At 33.3% G+C, this 25,134-nt stretch overlaps 2 long non-coding RNA genes across 2 annotated transcripts in view; one reads left to right on the top strand and one right to left on the bottom strand.

Annotated features, from left to right (window-relative positions):
- LINC00440 (long intergenic non-protein coding RNA 440) overlaps positions 1-4,202 on the bottom strand; it is a 44,950-nt gene extending 40,748 nt beyond the window's left edge. The window contains exon 1 of the long non-coding RNA NR_047025.1: positions 4,135-4,202. This is a non-coding gene — a long non-coding RNA (long intergenic non-protein coding RNA 440). The remainder of the gene's footprint in view (positions 1-4,134) is intronic.
- Positions 2,603-24,646, top strand: LINC01047 (long intergenic non-protein coding RNA 1047). The gene is made up of 5 exons (NR_131229.1): positions 2,603-2,674; positions 18,934-18,959; positions 19,784-19,922; positions 21,199-21,258; positions 24,166-24,646. It is a non-coding gene; the product is annotated as a long intergenic non-protein coding RNA 1047 (long non-coding RNA).
- Positions 24,647-25,134: the final 488 nt, after the last annotated feature.

Here is a 25,134-nt window from a genome sequence, read left to right as displayed (position 1 = left end):
CTATGCAGACAGTGTTTTCAGTTCCCTTGCTCACCATTTCTTTTTATCCTAATGTTTCATGTTCCAGTTGCCTCCTTGCCCATTGTGGAAAATGTTGGGTGAAAGAAGTCATAATAAGGAAAGATATCAATATATAAACCATGTGTTTTTTAAGTCACTTAAATCCACATTAACTTCTTAATGAAGAAAAATAATTTGTTGTTCTAAAAGACAGCTTGTAGATAACGGGTATCTATTTGATCACCTAGCAATGATGTAGGAACTCAGTGTTCAGTTAATCAGATATTATTCAGGTAAGTAGAAGAGACTAAAAAAAAACTTAATAAAAAATTTATCTATACATACTAATGATTTTTAGGACAAACTGCTGGGTTTCAGGTTAAATGAGTTATGCATTTAGTGTACATGTATTTAAGATATGTACTAAGAGAAGACAACAAAAAAAAATGGAAGAAAAGAACGAAAGTTAGGATGGAAGGAGAGAGAGGAAAGGATGAAAGAAGTGGTAATGTAACAGAGACAAGTATTTAACATGATTCATGAATTATTTTATTCAATGAGCATACGCCATGGAATGAAAATGAGATGGGAGATGTTACGTGCCTTTGCCTTCATTCAATTTTGTCTCCTGTGTGTCTCACAGTGTGACATTCTCACTTTCCTGAGTGTGAATCCAATATTTAAAGATACAGTGAAAATTATTTTGTTCATGCCCCCTAAACACAAACTACTTTATAATGGACTCAGCCAAGAAGCTGTGATCTGTTCTGTTGCAGGCAGAAAAACCAGGTGTGACAGACTTGTTGGTACATGTCCCTAAATGTACTTCACGGCTTATTTAAGAGAGTGCCAGAGAGTAATGTTGTATAAGAAATTTCTGGGCCATGCGTGGTGGCTCACGCCTGTAATCCCAGGACTTTGGGAGGCTGAAGCGGGTGGATCGCCTGAGGTCGGGAGTTCAAGACCAGCTTGGTCCCTACTAAATATACAAAAAAAATTAGCCAGGAGTAGTGGCAGACACCTGTAGCCCCAGCTATTTGGGAGGCTGAAGCAGGAGAATCCCTTGAACCTGGGAGGCGGAGGTTGCAGTGAGCCAAGATCGCTCCACTGCACTCCAGCCTGGGTGAAAGAGTGAGACTCCATCTCAAAAATAAAAATAAAAATAAAAAAAGAAAAAAAAGAAAAAAAGAAAAAGAAAAAGAAATTTCTGCCTAACCAGAAGATGTTAGGACCTAATTAACATGTGCATAGCGCAAAGTCTCCCATCTGGTAGCACACAGCTTCTGAAAAGCCATATGTTTATAAAGTTTGGGCTACAATTATTTGTTAGTTTCAGCATCAGTTATTATTTATTCCACTTCAGTTATATATTTAATATCCATCCATTTCTCACCACTCACATGCCCTCTTTCTAAGGCAGCCTGGCTTCTGTCCAAGCAGGAGTACTGCACAGGTTTCTGAGTTAGTGCTCCTGTTTCATTCTTGCTAATACTGACACGGGCATAGCATGTTTAAAGGCAATATATGCCTGTGCCTACTCCTCTGCTTGAAGCTCTTGATTTACTTCACATTGTTGTTATGGTGAAGTATGGACTATTTATTATGACTTACAGATTATTACTGAAGTCCTTGAAGCATGATAAATGCCATGTGCATGTTTTTTTTTAAATAAAGTAAATATAGGTAGTCCTGTGTCTGGACTCTGACCCTCAAATCTAGTCTATTTTATACCTAGACTTATTTTTTTTCTAAGATGAAAATATACTGATTCCACTAGCCTGGTATATCATGTCTGTAGTATACTTTCATGCTTTCTTTCAACAAATCTAAGCTTATTTCTCACGTTTTCTATTATCCACACATCAACTATTGCTAAATATTTTTAAAGCAGTCTACTTTTTTACATCTCCATGAAAATAAAAATGCCCATTATCATTTGCTTTCTTTCCTAACACTTAATATTTCCCTAAACTATAGCTCTCGATTAAGTTCTCTCCTACATAGTTAGAATTACAATTAGTAAACAAATAGAATTCTACATATGCCTCTATTTGAATATATTTTTATTAGCATTCTACATATGCCTCTATTTGAATACATTTTTATTAGAATACTACATATGACTGTATTTGAATATACTTTTATTTGAATTCTACATATGCTTGGCTATTCTTGGTGTTTTTCAAAATTCAGTTTGAAAGGATGGAATTCATTGCCTTCCAAATTCTCTCCAGATTCATTTCCTCCTTTTTATTTCCCTAATTATTTGCTTATGGTTCCACCAGTATGTACTCTTGAGAAATGGTCATGTATGTGCTGAAGGAGATGTGCACAAGGATTACATAGATACATATGTTATAACATGAAGAAATTGTTGAAATATTTACTTTAAATTAAAAACTCATTTTAAAATAATAGCATTAAAGACATTTAGATAAAATACACAAAGAGACAGATATGTCTCATAGGTGCTTACCTCCTTTCTATATACCTTAGTAAGGTTTTCAATACAATAAGAAATGTAGGGAATTTGAATCTAGGCAAAATGAAGCCATGGCCCATGATTCTTCTTTACAATGTGGCTTCTATCTGGACAGATGGGACACCAAACATTTGATAGAAGATTATTAATATGAGTGGTAGTAGGACAGAAAGACTGTCACATATTTTTGAGGTATGTATTTTATGAAGCATAGAGTCCATTGAAAATTCATAAAAGCTCCCTTATGGTGATTTCTTTCAACCACCTGATGCTTATGGCAACAATATAGTTGTTAAAAGTGCGTGGATGACACTTTTAATGTTCATGGAGGGTTGTTGATTTCTAAAATTAAATAGTTATAATAAATATGCAGGCTTACACGAGTTAACAGATTTGATTGCGCTACCATGATTAAATGGTTTCTTTAGGGAAATATTGCTGAATATTTTTGTTTGTGTTAATTTGTAGACCTGTAACTTGGAGATACCTTAAAGTACCTATTATAACATGCTGGCCATACTGTAAAAATTAAGGTAGCATACAAATGTCAAAAATTGTGATTTTTAATATTAAGAAAGATGTTGAAAATAAATGCATATTGTGATCTTATTCTAGGAAAATGTGAATAAAAATCAGAGACATTGTATCTTTTTCTAAAAGCACTGATGGGAAAGTCTTGAAATAAGAGGTATAGTTTAAGAAATTAAGGGCATTATCAGCTCATTTCTATAGTTTTGTTAATTCAAAGTTCATGGTAGAGCACTAGAGCTTATAAATACACAATACAATTGGATGCATTGAGAATATTTCTTCATGAGTTAATCAAAGCAATTTAAAGCAGGTTACCTACCTCAAGCACGCTGGCCAAGGTTGTTAGAAAAATGGCTTGGGAAGTTTTAAACTTAGAAATAATGAGTTACACAAAATCCCAAGAATGAAACAGTAAATAGTGGAACGGTGTGCTGTTATTTTTTTTTCCCATTAGTTCTTCTACTTAACTCTCTAATAATAAAGCTAGCAATAATGAATTATATTCATTTTATCTAGTTATAAATGAGGGCAGAATGCAATGAAAGTTCAAATACAGCAGAAAAGCAAGGGAGGGGGATATTACATTTTTTTCCTAATTTTAATTACTCTTTTAAGAAATGATTTTCCTAAAACTTTATTTATTGAAAGAGTGAATTAAGGTCACAGATTTATTTGCTAACATAGTTATCTGCTACATAGCCAAATATTGGTAAACACTGGGTTAAATTACTGTAATATTTAATTGAATCTTAACTAATTTTAACAATTATCACTTAAAATTCAAATTAAATTTGATCACCATATTCTGTCCACATGAAGGAAGGGAGGGAGTAAAATAGGAAAAGAAGGAAGGGAGACAGGAAGAAAAAGAAGAAAGGAGAAATATATAATTACCATGAAATACATAAAAACATAAAAATACTAGCAGATAAACTAGCTCAAATAAAAACTATCAAGCTGTTTAAATATCACATAAATTAAACAAAGTTAGTCAATTAAGTAAGCAATTGAAATAATTATTGATTTTGAATAGTACCTGTATTAGTCCGTTTTCATGCTGCTGATAAAGACATACCCGAGACTATGTAACTTATAAAGAAAAAGAGGTTTAATGGACTCACAGTTCCAGGTTCCTGGGGAGGCCTCACAATCATGGTGGAAGGTGAAAGGCATGTCTTTTACATGGCAGCCAGCAAAGAGAGAATGAGAGAGGAGTGAAAGTGGAAACCCCTTATAAAACCATCAATTCTCATGATATTTATTCACTACCATGAGAACAGTATGGGGGAAATCGTCCCCATGATTCAATTATCTCCCACCAGGTCCTTCTCACAACACGTGGGAATTCTGAGAACTAAAATTCAAGATGAGATTTGGGTGGAGACACAGCCAAACTATAACAGTACCTTTGAAACACTATTTTATTTTGGTAAAATAAGACATAAGTCCTTTTACATATAATTCTACATAGAAGATCCTCATCAATATTAGACATTCTATAAACATATTAATGAAAGGAATATGCTTTTTATTGAAATCTTGACCACATCACTGGTTATCACATGCTTTTCTAAAGAGATTGTCAGCTATAAAGCTACTACATGATAATAGCTTAATAAATAGGTTTAGTGACACATCATTTAAGTTAAAATGCTTTCATTTCTTTTAGTTCTTAAAATGTATTCACATATGGAACTATAATTAACTTTTAAAATAGTTCAAGTATTTGATTTAATAAATAATCTAGAATGTTTTTTGCAGTAAAAATCACATTTATAGGCACATATACAATGTATATAATTATCTTAATCACAAATTAAACTGTATAAAATTTTTCCTATTTTATTATATAGGTTTGTGTATTCACATGTATAGGTATCTAGATACATAGATGAATAAATATAGATACAGCTATAGACATATACAGCTGATGATACAGGAGAACTGATAAAAGTGAGGAATCTGGATGGAGTGGATTTGGATTTCATTCTTGATTTTAAGTCAATAAGGATAAATCATAAACTGCATATATGGTACTTAGCAAGCTTGACAATTAATAAGCAATTCATAAATGATAGTTATCACCATAATCATTATTATATTTAATAATTATTTTGTCCCTTGACTAGAATTTCTGTTTAAGAGAAAAATAACAGTCACAGTTTTGACAGTCACTTAATTTAGTAGGTAGTTTGATGTCTACCATTTAACTTTATATTCATTTCTATATAAAAAAACATTAAGTGATTTACCCAGTACACAAAGCAAAGATGATAGCTGACCTTGGAAGAGAACCAAGAACACCTTTGTATTCATAATGCAGTTTCTTTTTACATTGTCTTTCTATTTTGTCAGGAAAAAAAAGAAATGAGTGAAAGAGGCATGAAGACTGGGTGTCAGAACTGGTTCTAAAATTTACAACTCTGTAAATTATGATACTTTATGGAGAACAATTTCAATTTCATCAGGTTCAATTGGGATAAATAATACTTTTCCCTGTAATGTGCCTAGATTATAAGAAGATGTGATAGTAGTAATTTAGCTTCTAATAGCTTGCTAGAGCTTAATTTGCAATTCATATTTATATATATTATTTGAAAACACACTTGCCAGGTGTTATTATGCTTAAAAGTGAGCTACGCAAGAAAAATATATCCATTATAGTGACTAGCTAAATAGAGGAGGGACGAGTTATAACTGACAGGACAGGTGAAGGCAAATTCTGGAAGTAAATAGTATTTACTCGGGTGTTTGCTTCATAATTATTGGCTAAATTGTATGGTTTGATTCTATGCAGCTTTCCACATTCTTATTTCACAATAGAACATTTAAAAGATTCAAGTAAAAACATATGTAGTATACTATTTATTCTGAGTAATAATCATGTAGCATAATATACAGTCATCTGCCCTTATCCATGAGTGATGTGCTCCAGGACCCCCAGGGATTGCCTGAAATTATGGATAGTGCCAAATCCTATAGATGCCATTATTCCCCTACAGATGCATACCTATAATAAAGTTTAATTAATGCACCAGGAATAATAAGAGATTAACAACAATAACTTACAAAAAACAAAAGAACAATTGTAACAATATGCTGTAAAAAATTATGTAACTGTGGTCTCTCTCTCAAAGTATCTTGTTGTACGGTACTCACCCTTCTTGTGTTGATGTGAAATGATAAAATGCCTCTGACAGCAGCATGGGATGAGAATGACTAAAGGGAGGGACAGCATGAGATTTTATCATGCTTTGCAGAGTGACATGAAGTTTAAAATTTACGAATTAGCTAATTAAACTGGATGAAGGCATGAGAGCAAGTAACAAATGCTTAAGCATATGGAAGTAACAGAGTTGCTAACTCCAAAGAAAAGGCCAAAATTTCCTGTTTCTAATGTGCTAAATTTAGTAATAAAAAAATTATTAGACACAAGTGAGGTCACCATTGTGGCAATCTTGGGAGACACAGATGAAATGTAAATTCTCATTCCTGTAGAATAGGAATTTGGATAAGCACTTTAAGAGCGCTAACCCACAGTTATAGAAAACTGCCTTTAACCTAAAGCATCGATTTATAAATATAAAGATTTCTTTGGATACAAAAACTGATAAGCCCTGGTCTCAGTATAGTCACAATTCGTCTTAAAAAAAGAGACGTCTGAGCTGTAAGAGCATTCATTCCAGGAGCTAAGAGGAAGAGAAAAGGGAAACCAAACAATCCGATTTTTCTATTACCTACTTCTTTGTCTTTCCCACTCCCCAATAAGCCAAGCTTTAACTGCTGATTGTTGTGTCTACTTAAGTAAACTGTTAACATAAGTTTCCACAAGACTGTGATAAACTATTATCCCAAGGGGAAAAGTGATATTGAAAGAGCCCATTTACTTCCATCCAATTTGGAGATTTCAGGCACATTAACACATATGAAGGGGGCAAACATGTTTTCAGCATAAGGAAGGGGAGTATAAGACTGCAAATTGTTACCGTGGGTGGCTGTAAAAGTGCAAAAGATCAGCCTAGAAATGAGGCGAGCAGAAATACCCTTTCTATTCCTTGTGATTTATCTGGAGTCTTCTTTAAGGATATCTCTTAAACACTTACACAAGGTCAAATCTAGAATCTTCCAACCTGATAATTTTTGTTGGTACACTGGTACCTTGGGGCCATCTAAAATGCTTAGTTTAAATTTTGGCATAGTATTACTTTAACCTATAGATTCAAACATTACAAAAGATGCTTTTTTGAGGTTATTATTTTAATTTCTCATTTATATAATATATTATTAAGGCAGTGTAATTTAAGAACTACATTATTAGTGAAATATGTGTACAGACCAAATTTATCTAACAAAGATTTTTTAAAAATACCTCCCTTCACTGTGTCTATTCAAAGGTTGGTAATAATTGATCAAATGCATGTGGAAATGCATCAACTTGCCCTTTTGCACACCAATCAGAACATACACTCATTTTTTAAAATTTCCTGGGTTATATATGAATATAACATATTTAAATAATTTTATTTGTATTGTCAGTAATCAGTTCTTGTTATGTGCAATCTACCTTCCTCTAGTAAAATTAATTACCTAAAATTACAATCACAGGGTAGTTGGCTAGTCTCATTTTTAAGTGAAAATAAATTAAAAATACACAGAAAAATTAGAGGAATTAATTTAATTTACTTTTTCTACATAAAACTATACATGTTCTCCAGTATTATTTTCAGAATTCACTTAATAGTAGTTTATTAGTTTAATTGCAGACCAAGTCTAGGCTGATCAAATACATGAGAAAATGCATCAACTTGCTCTTTAGCACACCAAGCAGAACACAGACTTGTATTTTTATTCTTTAAAAATGGCGCCAATCTTGTCTCTGGACACTGATCAGCACTTAGACCCTTGTCTGTACACAGGGAGTCCTATGCATTAACTTTGAGCCAGTTTATCTTCCTACCATAACAAGAGGTCCTGCCTATTCCCAAGGAACTCTTATTTGTTTAACGTATGCTAACACTCTGGTATTTGCAGTGGAATGGCAAGATTTATCTAGCTAAGGAGGTGCCTAAGTTTAATAACATATAAGTTCCACTGTGGAACTGAGGTAAAATTGGCTGAAGGTGGAATTCTTTGGAGGAGGTAAGTCATCTGAATTTTATTTTTTGAAAAAAATTCAAATTTTATTTTAGATACAGGGTATATAGGTGCAGATTTGTTACATGGGGATACTGCATGATGCTGAGGTTTGGAGTACAGATCTGGTCACCCTGGTAGTAAGCTTAGTACCTGATAGGTAGTTCATCAACCCACTTCCCCTCACTCCACCCTCTAGTAATTCACAGTGTCTTTTGTTTCTGTAGCTATGCTCATATGTTCTGAATGCTTAGCTCTCAGTTATAAATGAGAACATATGGTATTTAGTTGGGTAGTCCTGTATTAATTTGCTTAGGATTATGGCTCTATCCATGTTGCTGCAAAGGACATAATTTTATTCTTTTTTATGGCTGTGTGGTATTCCATGGTTTATATGTACCACATTTTCTTTATCCGATCTAACATTGATGGGCACTTGGGTTGATTCCATGTCTTTGCTATTGTTAATAGCACAGTGATGAACATACAAATGCATGTGTCTTTTAGGTAAAATGATTTTTTTTGGGGGATGTATATATCTAGTAATGGCATTGCTGGGTTAAATGTTAGCCCTGTTTGAAGTTCTTTGAGAAACCTCCAGACTGTGACTTCTGAAATTGAATGACTAATAAAGAACTTGTCAAGCAAAAAAGTTCTGGAGGATGAATTCGCTGCTGAATTCTATCAGACACACAAAGAAGAACTGGTACCAATCCTACTAAAACTAATCTAAGGAATTGGGAAGGATGAGCTCTTCCCTAACCCATTCTGTGTAGCCAGCAACAGCCTGATACCAAAATCTGGCAGAGACTCAACAGAAAAAGAAAATTTCAGACTAATATACCAAATGAACATAGAAGCAAAAATCCTCAACAAAATACTAGCAAATCAAATCCAGCAGCATATCAAGAAGTTCACACACTATGAACAAAAAGGTTTTGTCCCTCAGATGCAAGGCTGGTTCAACATCCAAGAATCAGTAAATGTGATTCACCATATAAACAGAATCAAAAATAGAAACCATATGATCATTTCAATAGATGCAGAGAAAGCATTCGATAAGATGCACGATAAAAATTCTCAAAAGACCAGGCATTGAAAATATGCCTCAAGATAATAAGAGCTGTTTGTGACAAACCTACAGCCAACATCATACTGACAGAGTGAAAGCTCGAACTATCCCCCTTGAGAACTGGAACAAGACAAGGTTGCCCATGCTCACACCTCCTATTCAACGTAGTACTGGAAGTCCTAGCCAGAGCAATCAGGCAAGAGAAATAAATAAAAGGCACCAAAATAGGAAAAAAAGAAGTAAAACTATCTTTCTTCACTGATGATATAATTCTATAATTAGGAAATGCTAAAGACTGTGCCAAAAGACTCCTAGAATTGATAAACGACTTTAATAAAGTTCTAGGATATAAAATGAATGTATAAAAATCAGTAGAATATCTGTGCACCAACAATGTCCAGACTGAGTGAAACCAAGAACACAATCCCACTTATAATAACCACAAAAAATAGAAATACCTAGAAATATATATAACCAAAGAGGTGAAAGATCTCTGCAACAAGAACTGCAACACATTGCTGAAAGAAATCAGAAATTACACAAATAAATGGAAATACATTCCACTATTGATTGGAAGAATCAATATTTTTTAAATGGCCATAATGCACAAAGAAATCTATCAATTCAGTGCTATTCCAATCGAACTACCAACATCATTCTTCATAGAATTGGAAAAAAATTATTCTAAAATTTATATAGAACCAAAATAGAGCCCAAACAGACAAAGTAATCCTAAGTGAAAAGAGCAAAGCTAGAGGCATCACCCAATCTGTCTTCAAATTATACTATAAGGCTAAATTAACCCAAATGGCATGGTACTGGTACAAAAACAGACCCATAGACCAATGGAACAAAATAGAAAACTGTGAAAGAAAGCTATACACTTACAATCATCTGATCTTCAACAAGGTCAACAAAGACAAGCAATGGGGAAAGGACACCTTATTCAAAAAATGGTGCTGGGATAATTGGCTAGCCATATGCAGAAGATTGAAGCCAGACCTTTGCGTTACACCATATATAAAAGTTAACTCAAAATGTATTAAAAATTTAAATGTAAGACTTCAAACTATAAAAATCCTGAAAGACAAAAATAGGAAATACTCTTCTCGACATCAAGCTTGGCAAAAGTTTTTTTGCTAAGTCCCCAAAAGCAATTGCAGTGAAAACAAAACTAGACTAGTGGGACCTAATTAAATTAAGAGCTTCTTCCCAGCAAAATAAACTATTAATAGAGCAAACAGACAACCTACAGAATGAGAGAAGATATTTGCAAACTATGCATCTGACAATAGCCTAATATCTAGACGCTCTAGGGAACTTAAAACAACAAGCAAAAAACAAATAACTCCATTAAAAATGGGCAAAAATTATGAACAGATAATTCTCAAAAGAAGATATACAAATGACAACAAACATATAAAAAATGCTCAGCATTATTAATCATCAGAGAAATGCAAATCAAAACCACAAAGAGATGCTATCTCACACCCATTAGAATGGCTATTACTACAAAGTCAAAAAACAAATGCTGGTTAGGCTGCCGAGGAAAGGAAATGCTTATACACTGTTGATGGGAATGCAGTTTCTTAAGTCACATGAGATACCCATGTTATTTCTTATGTAGATTCACTGAATTAGGCTGATAACCCCAACTGCATAATTATTTTTTGTACCCAATATTCATTCACAAAATTTTTTCTTTCATCTTAGAATCAATACATGGGCTAGATATTCTGAAAGGTTTGAGGACCATGGCACAAATATGTGGACAAAAGAAAAATAAATTTTTGTTATAACTACAGTATATTTTTCACTTTTAAGAGAAATGTTTTATCTGCCCTTTAAGAAAGCATAATGGTTTGTTTATTTATTTATTTATTTATTCTGAGACAGAGTCTCATTCTGTTGCCCAGGCTGGAGTGCATTGGCACGATCTCGGCTTATGGCTACCTCCGTGTCCAGGGTTCAAGTGATTTTCATGCTTCAGCCTCTCGAGCAGTTACAGGTACCCATGATGGCACCTGGCTAATTTTTGTATTTTGGGTAGAGATGGGTTTCACCATGTTGGTCAGGCTGGTCTCGAACTCCTGACCTCAAGTGATTCGCCCGCCTTGGTATCCCGAAGTGCTGGGATAACAGGCGTGAGCCACTGTGCCCAGCCACATAATGGTTTATTTTATATTATTTACTACTTTCATATTTTGCATATAATGGTGATGATTTTAGAGCTCATCAGAAAGAAAACCCTATTTAAAATTACTACGTGATGTTTTATTGACAAGGCACAGTGGACTTCTACACACACATGCCCACATCACACAGAAACATATATTTTACCTTCCAATTTACAATAAAAGAGTAATGAAATATAAATTATAGAATATCTTTAAAACAAAGAATTAGCTAAGATATTTTTCTCTTAGCTGTTGCCATTGAATGACTTTTGATGTAATCTATGATTGATGTAGAATTGACCACCTTGTTCTCTTTAAAACTTCTTTTTACCAAACCTAATTTCTTGATTCCATTCTGTATTTAAAGCTCAGCTATGTATATTAATCAAACTGACCTCGCCCAAAATAAAACGGAAATATACATAATTTGGACATATGGTTTTGCTCTTACATTCCACATTAGATATGTCATTTGTATTTGAAGCACGATATTGACCTCAAATTATGAATCACTCATACAAATATATGGCATTCCCCTGTCTCTGGCCCAGCTTTAGCGCTGCCAACCAGCCATTTAAGTTAACACAATGAAACAGCATAAATGATATTGTCCACTGTTTATTTGTAATTACTTAATTCACATTTTCCAAGGATATAGGTAACAAAAACTTGTGGGCCTTCTGTGATGGATGACTCTCAGTGTAATATTTGATTACTTCAGAGGACATCTCATCATAACTTGGCTTCATTTCAGAACTTTTTTTTAGGATGAGAGTAAAGAAAACATAAAATGCAGTCAACAGGAAGATAAAATTGATTTTCAAGCCAAGATAAAACTATAAGTCATTCACCCCTCATAATCATGACAAGGTTTTAAATACACATCAATCCCTAAAATATTTTAGAGAAAAAAGGGAAATTAGCACTAAATAGAACAATAGTAATTTTTTGGAGAACAAAAATGCAGCAAATAAATGAAATATGATGTTCAAATATAGAATAAAGTAAGGTTATTGGTTTAGAGGCAGGGTTGAAAACCATGGCACATAATACATACAGGGGACTATTTGCACCAGGTTATCCTAAAGTAATTGAAACTGAATTTATTTTTTAAGTAATTATCTAAGTAAGAATATATATATTAATATAATATGTAATATTCATATATTAAAGGTTAGAAAAACTATTAAAATGTAATCACTGCTCTAAGGGACAGTTCAACTCTGGAATAGAAGCAAAATATCTTTGAAATCAAATTTGTAACAAATTTTTATTTGATTTAAATATTTCAGGTATTGTTTTATGGCAATTCACACATCAGTTTGCATCACTTGCTACCTTTCATGAGTTGATGACACAGGAATGTACATAAGAAAATGTGAGAAGTTCTTCTCAACAGCATATATTTTTCATAAAAGTAGGTAAACAGAAATGATTTTCTTAGCGTTAAGCAATATCCCATCAAACATTAAAAATTACATGATTTTAATTACATGATTTTTATACATTACATTTGTGTCACCACGGGATGGATTTATTTATTTATTTTTGACATAATTATAGATTCCCCTTCAGTTGGAAAAACTAATACCGAGAGAAAATCTATATACCCTTCACCCAGTTTCCTGTGGTGGTAACCTCTTGCCTAGCCGCAGTATAATATCAAAACCAGAAAATTGACATTGACCTGATCCATCCACCTTATTCAGATTTCACCAGATTTACATGAATTCTTGCGTGTGTGTGCATGGATATGTGTGTATGTGGCCTTAGTTCTATGCAATTTTGTCCCATCTGCAGATTTGTTTTACCACCCCCTCACAGTCAATATACAGAACAGCTGCATCATAAGGATCTCCTTTTGTAAGCTTAGCCGCTTCTAACCTCTGCTTCCTAATCCCTGGCAATAACTAACCTGCTCTGAATCTCTGTATTTTTATTATTCCATGAATGTAATATAGATGCAATTGTACAGTATGCAACCTTTTGAGATTAGCATTTTTAGTCAGAATAATTATTTAACATCTAAATTGCTATATCCTTTTTGTTGCTTTTTATCACTGAGTATTATTTTATAGCATAGATATACCACAGTTTGTTCAACTATTCATGTATTGAAGGATATTGGGATTATTTCCAGTTTTTGGCTATTATGAACAAAGGTGCTTATAAATATTTACTTTCAAGCTTAATGAATATAAGTGTTCATTTTTCTGAATTGAATGCCCAAAGTACAATTCCCAGAATATATTATAAACAAATGTTTAGTTATGTAAGAAATTGCAACAACCTTTTCCAGGTGACTGGTCTGTTTTACATTCCGGCTAGCAATGTCAGAGTGGGCCAGCTAGTTACTTCATATGCTTATGAACATTTGATGTTAATCCTATTTGATTTTCCTCATTCTAAATGTGTAGTGATATCTCACTATGGCTTTAATTTGCCTTTCCCTAATGGTTAATGATGTTGAACATCTTTTTTATGTGCTTTTTATCAACTGTATACACTATTTGGAAAATTTCTCTTCATCTATTGCCCATTTTCTAATTGGACAATTTGGTTTTATACTGTTGAGTTTTGAGAGTCTGTTATATATTTTAGATGAAATACATTTGTTGGATATATGGATTGAAAATATTTTCTTTCAGTCTATAGCTTAGATTTTCTTTCTCTTCACATGAGTTTTCACAGAAAAAAAAAGTTTTCATTTTGTGGATGTCAGTTTATCAGTTTTTATTTTATGGATTGTGCTTTTAGTGTTAAGACCAAGAACTCTTCACCTAGCCCTATGTCTTAGCCACAAGATTTTTTCTTTACTATTTTATTTTTTTCTAAAAAGTTTTTCAGCTTTGCATTTTAAATTAGGCCCATGACCCTATTTTTAGTTATTTTTTTATAAAATATGTGAGTTTTAGTTAAAGGATCTTTTGTAAAAGATTTTGTACTTATGGATATCCAATTACTCCAATACTATGTAGTAAAAACTTTCTCCTTCCATGGGATCATTTTTACACTATTGTTAAAAATCTGTTGGTCTAATTTTTTGAAACTCTTTCTGGATTCTCTATTCTCATGGTTCTTGCTTCTGTTTCATTGAACTGAGGCTTCTCCTTCATGAATGCCACATTCTTTTACAAATTGTAGTTACACAGTAAGGCTTAACATCTGACAGAGCAATTGATACCACTTCTTTTTCAAGATAATTTTAGCTATCCTTGGTTCTGTGCTATTTCATATAAATTTTAGAATGAGCTTCTCGGTGCTTTATAAAGCATCACTGATATTTTGATGGACAGATATAGGAACTTATGAATTATTTTGGTTTTCCTATCCATTTACACAGTGTATTTCTCTATTTGGGACTGCTTTGGTTTATTTCATCAGGATTTTATACTTTTTAGCATATAAATACTATATATATTTGGCTAAGTATAGAGCTACCTACTTTCTTTGAAACACTAGTAAATAATGTTGCATTTTTAATTTCAGTTTTCACTTGTTTGTTGTCAGCATATAGAAATAAATTAATTTATATTCATATATCAATTTATGTAGCAACTGTATTTTTTAATCAATTGTATATTTCTTTATACAATTGCTCTTATATCCTGTGACTTTACTTAACTCATGTATTTGTTCTAGGAGATTGTGTGTGTGTGTGTGTGTGTGTGTGTGTGTGTGTGTGTGTGTGTGTGTATCTCCCTTGGGATTATCTACATAGACAATCATGTCATCGAAAAAAAAGCTTTATTTCTTTCAATCTGTATGCACGATTTTTTTTCTTTTTTTCCCCTTCTCACAGTGGCATGATCTTCCAGTATTATGTTGAAGAAATGTTGCAAAAGCAAACGCCCTTGCCTTGTTCCCAATCTTAGAAAAACAGCATTTGACGTTCACTATTAAGTATAATGTTAGCTGTGGGTGCTCTGTAGATGCACTACATCAAGTCAAAGACGTTTCCCTCTATTTCTAGTTTTAAAAAAAAATCATTCTGAAATGGATGTGGAAATTAGTCCATGTAAAATGGTAAGATTACTCTGATTTTTTTCTTCAGCCCACTATTATGAAGATTTCATTAGTTTTCAACTGTTAACAAAGTCTTGCATGACTTGAATAAAGTTCATTTGGTCATGGGGTATCCTTCTTTTTGCACATTTCTCGATAGGATTTGCTAATATTTTGTTGATGGTTTTATCATCTATGTTTATGGATGACATTTTCTCCAGTTTTCTTTTCTTTTTAAAAATATCATTTTTGTTTAGGTTTGGTATCAGAGTCATAGCAACTTTACAAAATAGTAGGGAAGTGTTCCCTTACAATAGATTGTAAAAAAAAAAAAAAAAAGAGCGTAGTTAATTATTCTTTAATTGTTTGATAGAATTCACCATTGAAATAATCTTATTCTGGCAATTTTTTTTTAACAGATTTCACTTTTAAATTTAACAGCTTCAAAAGTTATAGAACTGTTTACACTGTTCATTAGATCTTGGCTAAGTTTTGGTAGATTTTAGTTTTCAAGAAATCGGTCCATTCTTCTGAGTTGTTGAAATTATGCATGTAAAGTTACTCTTCATATTCACTTATTATCCTTTTACTAAATGCAGTGTCTACAGTGATATCTCTATTTTATACTTGACATGTTAAATTATGTCTTCTCTCTTTATTGTTCTTCCTGCTAAAGTTTTATAAATTTTATTTTATGTCAGAGAAGTAGTGTTTTGTTCCTCTACTGGTTTATTTTTTTTTCAGTTTCACTGATTTCTGATCAATCATTATTATTTACCTCTTTTCAGTTTATTTTGCTCTTTTCTTCCTGGTTTCTTGAGGATGAAACTTAGATGATTGATTTGAGAGCTTTTGTCGTTTAAAATGTAAACATTTATTGATATACATTTACCTCTCAGCACTGTTTTAGCTGCATCCCAGTTATTTTGATTTGCTGTATTGTTATTTCCATTCAGTCCTATTTATATTATTAAATTTCCTTGGAGACTATCTCTTTGATCTATACATTATTTAGTAATGTATTATTGAATTTCTAATATTTTAGAAAATTTCCAAGGGTTTCTGTGTTTTTGAAATCTAGTTTGATTCCATAGTGGTCAGAAAAAAATGCTATAAAATTTTAACTTCTTTAAATTTAGTTACAGTTTTATGGAATATAATGTCTTCTATCTTTGATGAATGTTTTATGAGCACTAAAAAATTGTTGGCTATCATGTTCTACATAGAGCAATTAGATCCTGTTATTTCATTTTGTTGATCATTTATTTCTTGCAGTAGGGTAGAGGCAGAAGTTCAGCTCTCTGCTGAGTTCATTGTCACCACAGGAAGTTGATGAAACTAAAATGTCATCTAGATCAATCTTCCATTTTCTTATTCTACTTTTTTTGCTGCTGGGTAGGGGTAGAGGGTCAGCTCCCTATTGCAATCAGTTGACTACAGGGTTGAAGACAAGTGGCGTTCTTACTGGCCCTCAGTCCTATAGCCTTGAGTCTTGAGTTCAGTCTTGATGATGCCTACTGGATGAGATTCGGCTCATTGTTAGTGCCTGCCAACAATATGGAAGGGTACTGCGAAGTGGAGTGGTAATTAGCCCTTGCTTGCAATGCTTTATTAGGTCTCATTGTCATAGAGTGGGGCTGGAAGTAAAAACACCTTTGCAAAAATTATCTCAGTGAGAGAAATCTAATCTAACTGACTCCATCTTGCTTTTAACCTCACAAGCTAATTGCCTTTGTTAATTTTAAAACAAAGATGATAGTTGCTTTCCAAAACTAAACCCCTCTTTGCTCAGAGACTAAAACCATCTTTGTAAGACTATGAAAGTTCACAAGAATAGGATTATGGGAGGGCCCTGAATTCTGCTAAAATGTAAGCATAGTAAAATGATAACTGGTCATTGTCTTCTATCTTGCCTTTCTATAATCACTTACTGCTTGAGAATCACATAGCTGGAGGTCACAGGATTTGTAACTTCCCCAATTGCTCCTGTAGAAAATAACACTGTTGTCAGAACTTAAGATTGGTATTTGAGATATTTTTCAGATTTTTGCATTATGGAAACCAGCTGACTCTTTCCAGACCCATGATTCATACCAAGAAACTTGTTCAGCCTGTCTTGGAACCCTCTTTTAGAAACTCTCAGCACATGAAGACCATTTGGACATCCCTATGATTTCATCTCCAACCAATAAGCAGCACCCATTTCTTCATTTCCTGCCCACCAAATAATTCTTTAAAGTCCTAGCCTCTGAGCTTTCCAGAGAAAGATTTGAGATAAATATCCCATTAGCCTGCTTGGCTGGCCTTGTGTTAATTAAACTTTCTTTGCTGCAATACCTGCTGTTCCCAGTGCATTGGCTTTTTTGGGCAGCATGCAAGATTAGCTTGGCCTGTTACAGAGGTTCTTCACATCACTAACTGTATTCCAGTGACACTACTTAAGCATTTAGTTGGAGCACCATTTTTCTTCCTCGAGAAGATCAGCCCCCATTCAGTTTGCTAGCACCACATAGTGGGAGAAGCCATCTTGTCTCCTTCTACCAAGCAAGTGGATGAGTTTGAAGATCTACTTTACTCTTGGCATGAAAACCATAAATAGGGTATGATTGTTATGCTGGTGCTTGGCTACAGTTGGATCAGTGTTGCCAAAAGAGGTCTGTGGTGATGCCACCATTTTCCCACATCTCGGCTAAAAAGCAGTGTAAAGCACAGGAATATGGAGCTTTTTTTTTTCTCATACTATTTTTTTGAGCTTTTTTGTTTGTTTGTTTGTTTTATGCCTATTGGTTCTAGGACAGAGAACTTTATGATGTTCTGTATAGGAAAAATAGAAGGGAAAGAGAAAACCTAGGGAATACAACACTGTGTGATTCCTCAAGCTCCTATGTCCTTATGAAGTTTACCTACTTGTTTGAAACTTTCAGTCTTCTTGATTATATTATTATGCTATATCCTGGGTCTTCTACTTGTAAGAGAAACAACCTAGGGAAAATGGAGCTAATCTATCTTGGCTGGAAGCAGATGTGTATGGATTGAATTTTAATGATTAATTACGCTGAATGAAATATTGAAACTAAATGCAAATGACCAAATATTTATTTTGAATGAGGGGCTTTGTTTTACTTTTTTTAAATGCTGCAATGTTCCACACATTTTGAAAAAAAAAATCTTTCAAAATTCTGAGCTTGTAGTTTTGACATCTTTTCTAGTTTTGCTGAAATAGAAATATTACATGTGGGACTTTGAGAATAATAATTATGCCATTTTCTTCATTAATATTCTTGACATCAACTCATGCAGAGTTTAATGATTACTTTCTAGATTTTAATATCTCCTATGTGAACTAATAAGGCATCAACTTTAGAGTTCTTGTGTTGACTTAAATATTTAGATATTTTATGGTTTATGTATATTAATACTAGATGAATATGTAGTGGGCTTTATTTAAATGTTTCAAAGCTTTTCAAACATTGTAATAATGATTAGTAACAAGTTTATATTCTGCTCATATTAGCTTTTCCTCTATTCCTTAGGGATTTTAGAAAATATAATTTTAAAGGTAAGTGAATTTTCTTTCAACTTACATATGTACAGTTTTACATACAAATTCAACCAATGTTTTCATTTGTAATTTAGAATGTGTTGCTTTATTTCTGAGAGGGGAATTCCTAAAATTTCTGTTTTAAAAACTCATCCAATATCAATAAATGAAAACAAGATGTTATCATTCCATGTAACTCTACTATACATTTATTTATCTTTATGATACAATCAGATTATTTTTTGAATTACAAAAACAAAAGATGTAAAGATTATAGGTGTCAGAAGTAGTTACTGGTCTTTCTTTTAATGCAATAAGCAGAATTGGAGATGAGATATTAATCCATTTATGCTGTTTATCTGCATAAAGACAGTTATCTCAAACTCAGGGTCAATTGACAATATTTAAGAATTATTGAAAGAAGCTTTTAAATTGAGATTTTTAGGATAATCATAGTCGATTTCAATCTTCTATGGGGCTTACATGATCCCACTAAATTGAGCTCTTTTAACTCAAGCAATTTAAAGGAAATCAAAAGAGGGAAAATAAAGAGATGAAAAACCTTAAATATTTGATGTAGGGAAGAAATTAAAAAAGTAACTACTGTTAATTTACTTTATTCAACAATAACTGGGCCCAGGGTAAAATGTTGTAAGATCTGGGACTTCTTCTTATCAAAGAATTTAGCTTGCAATGGATGTAGTAGGGGTGATTCTTCTTGGATGATATCTGAATTTCTTCAGGATTCCTATTTTCAGTGGCTTATCAACATGGAGAAGAATTTGTGTAGAGTATCAATAGATAACAATATATCTGTGTTTATGTATGTGTTTCTGTTTAAGGGGGCAGCAGTTCAATACTACTTTAAAAATAATACTCCCTGGCCGGGTGTGGTGGCTCATGACTGTAATCCCAGCACTTTGGGAGGCCGAGACGAGCGGATCATGAGGTCAGGAAATCAAGACCATCCTGGCTAACACGGTAAAACTCCGTCTCTACTAAAAATACAAAAAATTAGCCTGGCATGGTGGGGGGCGCCTGTAGTCCCAGCTACTTGGGAGGCTGAGGCAGGAGAATGGCGTGAACCTTGGAGGCAGAGCTTGCAGTGAGCCAAGATGGCAACACTGCACTCCTGCCTGGGTGACAGAGCGAGACTCCGTCTCAAAAAACAAACAAACAAATAAACAAAAAACTCCCTAAATTTTCCCCATGAAAGTAGGGCCTAAATTCCACAGAACTCTCTCCCCAGTGATGTTGACATTTGCAGTAAGAACTTCCCTGTCCTCCTATTCTTCACATAGAATCCTAGTTGTCATTATTATAGGAACATCTGCCTTATCGTATTTGGGGTAACAGGATTTTCTAATTCTAGGTATCGAATTATGAACAAATCTTGTTTTTTGCATAAATCTTACTTTCTTAAATTACCTGCATTTAAAATTTTAAAAATACATTTTGGCTTTTTTTGCATTACAAAGATAAAATAGTCTTAAGTAGTATTTAGTTGGGAAGTCCCATGTTCATGCTAAATCTACTTACTTTTGTTATTTTCTCAAAATATTTTCTTGAAAAAATAATTAATATATTTTTCTAAAGGTAATTTTAAAAATAAATTGACATTTAAATAATGTAGTTAATTACATTTAGTTACTTATGATTTAAGCAATGGAATTAGGATCTTAATTCAGTAGTTATTTAACTTCTATTTCACATAAAGACATATTGTATCTCTCAAATAAAGTTTCAAATTATTTTCAACTTTTGCTAGAAATGAAGTCTTACTGTGTTTCGCTGGTTGGACTTGAACTCCTGGGCTCAAGCTGTCCTCCCACCTGAGTCCCCTGATTAGCTGGGACTTCAGGCACATACCACTGTATACAGCAAATTTTCAATTTATCAAAAGCTTAATTACATTTTATTACCATCAAGATTAGAGAATAAACATACATTTTAGATTATTGCAGATAAGCATCTCTCTTTCTCTTCACATGTACACATAGTAAAAATGAACTACAGTTGTGGTTACTTACTCTATTTTAGATACTTAATCTTTCCCTTGTCAATAATTATGTTTATGTATTTATATATGTTATTCGTTATAAAAAGTAAATATTAACTAATTTTAAATAGTTTTAAAATATAGTATCTACTATAAATTAATGAATTCTATATCACAGTCATAAGCTAACATTGTTGCTGGAATTAATTTTATTATTTATTCATATTTACAAAACAATAGCTTTTTTTTCTATTTCAGACAAATTATACCTATTTTTCTCAATAACACATGGCTACAGTGAAAGACTTCCATTTATTGGTAAGTTTTATCCTTAACTGATGGATGCCCCATAATAATAGTAGACATGGTAAAGAAGAAAGAAATTCTTATATAACTTTTTGTGAAAGCCCATGATTTAGAGACTAATACAGTGGAGCTTATTGTGCAACTTACTGTGAAATTTCCTGATTTATTATGCAGTTCTTAGAGCTTATTGAGTGTCCTTATTGTCACACTTCATGATTTACTGAGTAATACAGAAGAGCTTATCACATAACTTGATAGTGAAATTCTGATTTACTGTGAAATAGTTGTTCCAATATGTTTCTACAATGGGAAGAGTTTATCTAATGTTTTCTAATTACAGACAAGCCTCATCAGACACTTCATTTTCAAAGCAAGTAAAATCTATAAGAAAGCTTTGAATACATCTTTTGCAATGGGAAAATTTCTCCCTTCAAAATGATCATTTATCCTAATTTCTGAAGCATTTAAGTCTGGGAGTTGGCCCCAAGAAAATGAAAGGCCATTTCTACTTTATTTAATAATGTGCCATGATGACACACAGTTGATGATAGTTATTTTTCGAGAGACTAAAGTTAAATTTTTCTAAAAATAATAAAGTCACTACCCTTGAATGAATTAAAGGTCTCAAATTATTTTTATAATACCTGGCTTAACTGTTTCTCTCTTTCACTTACCATTAAGCAAAGCCTTAAGGGAGAAATTTTATAATTTGACAGTATGCAAAATTGTAAGTTTATAAATTACCACTAAAACTGTAATGCTTTCATAATATGTTTATGCTACTTTTTGCTTCAAATATATGAGGAAATTCTATAACATGAAATGTTTTACTAATTTTTAAACTTTTTTGTTGAAGTCATTTTTATTTCTTAAACTTTATATAAGCTTAACAGTAATTAAATATCTGTAATGCAAATAAGTAACTTAACTCTTGAAAGAATCTATGACTTTGATGTTTAATTTCACTTATCTGAAAACTAAATTGTGCAAATGAGGATTATTTCATTTAATTTCATTTAATCTATGCATATACTTTGATATAGAAGATATTAAATGTAGATTGTATGCAATTATAAAAATCAATACTCTATATGCCCAAATATAATATCACTCCCAGGGTGATGTAGAATGCTCCCAGGGAACATGAAAAACACAGAGAATTATTTTTACCAATTAGCATGTCTACAATTAGAAAATATTGGATCTCTTGACATTAGGGAGAAAAGAGAAAGGGATAGAGGGTTGGACACAAATCTTTGGGGAAATTTTATAGCTAGGAACAACAGAAGGAAAAGTAGTAACTGAGCAAGACGGAAAAAGATAGTTATAGAGCTAAACACAGAATCTGAGGATACAGTGCATGTTTTCACCTTAAACTTAGCCAGTTTTGAACCGTCTGGTAAGGCTTATTATTTTCCTGGTAGCCAGTAGGCAATTTGATGCAGAGCTAAAAAGTTGTTATAAAATAGGGTTGATTGACAGATAATGAGAAGAAAAAAATCATATTAAAAAATGGCTTTACTAAAATCTAATGAAATATATTCCCTCAAAATGGAGTTGGTAAAGACAAAGTAATTACATAAGATGTAGATCCTATTAGATAATAATAGTACAAAAACTACAGAAGTTGACTATGCATAAAAATAGTTAATATATTAAAAGAAGAGAGCAGAAATTTTCGTTTACTTTTATGAAATTAAAGACATGACAACAGAAACTTAACTAGGAAAACTAAAGGGAACTATATTAAAAGAACACTACAGTTCTTTGAAAGGCATTGTGTGGTAACAGGACAATCAAGAAATAAGATGGCAGGAAGTGGAACCAAATACTGACTCCACAACATATCTTTCATCTATTATGAATTGATGAATCCCTAATGAGAATGTGTTTGTGGATATAACTCAATCACACCATCTATTATATTTAGTAGTCATTTCAGTAACAAATGCTTATCAAATTCACTTCGAATGTATAGATAATTATTGTTCTAAAACGTTACGTTTGTGTATGACGTACCAATGAATAGAAACCTCCACTGTAACACACACACACACACACACACATACACTAGCACACACTTTCTTTTGTTTCTTTTTTTTGAGACGGAGTCTTGCCCTGTCACTCAGGCTGGAGTGCAGTGGCACAATCTCTGCTCACTGCCAGCCTCTGCCTCCCGGGTTCCAGTGGTTCTTCTGCCTCAGCCTCCTGGACAGCTGGGATTAAAGGTACCCGCCACCAAACCTCAGCCTCCTGGACAGCTGGGATTACAGGTACCCGCCACCACGCCCAGCTAATTTTTGTATTTTTAGTAGAGACGGGATTTCGCCATATTGGCCAGGCTGGTCTCAAACTCCTGACCTTAGGCAATTTGCCCGCCTTGGCCTCCCAAAGTGCTGGGATTACAGGCGTGAGCCACCTCACCTGGCCAACAATTTCACATATACTCTTTTTTTTTTCTTTTTCTTTTTCTTTTTTTTTTTTTTCTTTCTGAGATAGAGTCTAGCTCTGTGGCCCAGGCTGGAGTGCAGTGGCACGATCTCGGCTCACTGCAACCTCTACCTCCCGGGTTCAAGTGATTCTCCTGTCTCAGCCTCCCGAATAGCTGGGATTACAGGTGCCCACCACCACTCCCCGCTAATTTGTGTATTTTTATTAGAGACGGGGTTTCACCATGCTGGCCAGGCTGGTTTCGAATGCCTGACCTCAGTTGATCCGCCGCCCTTGGCCTCTCAAAGTGCTGGGATTACAGGAATGAGTCACCACGCCCGGCCCACATAGACATTTAAACACAATTTATTAAATAGCAACATTTAAAATTTGTACTTTGTTATCTGAAATTCACAACCTTAGTCAAGTAATAAAGCACGTTTGAATGGACAGTATTCACTCCGCTTCATATCTCTACACTCCCTACAGATCACTTTTTGGCCTTTGGCTGAGATCAAGAGCACTACCTGAAGATGAAAGATGAAAGGAGCTGATTTGCAGATTCTCTCCCTATACATTTTTGTTGTATTGAATTTCAGTTTCATTTTATTCTCTTATCTTTCATGGAATGTTACAATTACCTAAATTATAGACTAATATAGAAGCTTTTGAGCAAAAGGGTGTATGTGCTGTGAAGGTCAACATTTTAAACGATCCTAAAACATAATTGTTTTAGAACGGGCACTTGTCTGGGTCCCACTGAATGACTCATTTCACGGCATCACATTCAAAATGGATTCTATCAAAGGAAAACCAACTCATTCTCAAGATGAAATTCATCCTTTGCATATTATGTATCAATGATATCACTCTTCCAGTGCCAGTTGTGGAAAAATAGGTTTCAACATAGAGTGGCTTGTACTGTGTATTTAATAAAGCTTTCAGAATGTGTTTCTTTTATAATTTCAAATTATTGTAAGTGTTAAAGTAGGTCCTGCAATAGTCTCTATAACACAAGAAAAGGCTTCGAGGGAATTGTATACTCAATAGCACTCGAGTGGTGTATTGAAAAAATAATGCCATTATTACAATAGCAAACATCATCAACTATATAAATATCTTCTTGTCTCATTTGAAATATGCATAGGGCTTTATGTCATCCATTTTACAAGTGCGTTATTGTCTCTCACAGCAGAGACCATGTGGGATGCTAAAATTTGAAAAGCTTTCTTATGTGTATATTGATTGATTGTGCATTATTAGATGTGTATTAAAGAATCATGTTTTTGTGAAAAGCCGTAAGTGCTCTATTCAGCAAAAATGTTACTCTGTTCTTCAGACTATAGAATATGTTTGGCTTCCTGTGGTAGGATTTTTAGCCAATTTGTTCAATTTGTCCTTGGAGTCTTTCCAAGGACAGTCAGAATGAAATCAGGGGTTGCAGCATTTTAATATCTC

The sequence above is a fragment of the Homo sapiens genome, chromosome 13, assembly GCF_000001405.40.
Source record: "Homo sapiens chromosome 13, GRCh38.p14 Primary Assembly".
Taxonomy (NCBI): domain Eukaryota; kingdom Metazoa; phylum Chordata; class Mammalia; order Primates; family Hominidae; genus Homo; species Homo sapiens.
The sequence above is the reverse complement of the archived record's forward strand: the minus strand, read 5'-3'. Positions and strand labels throughout refer to the sequence as shown.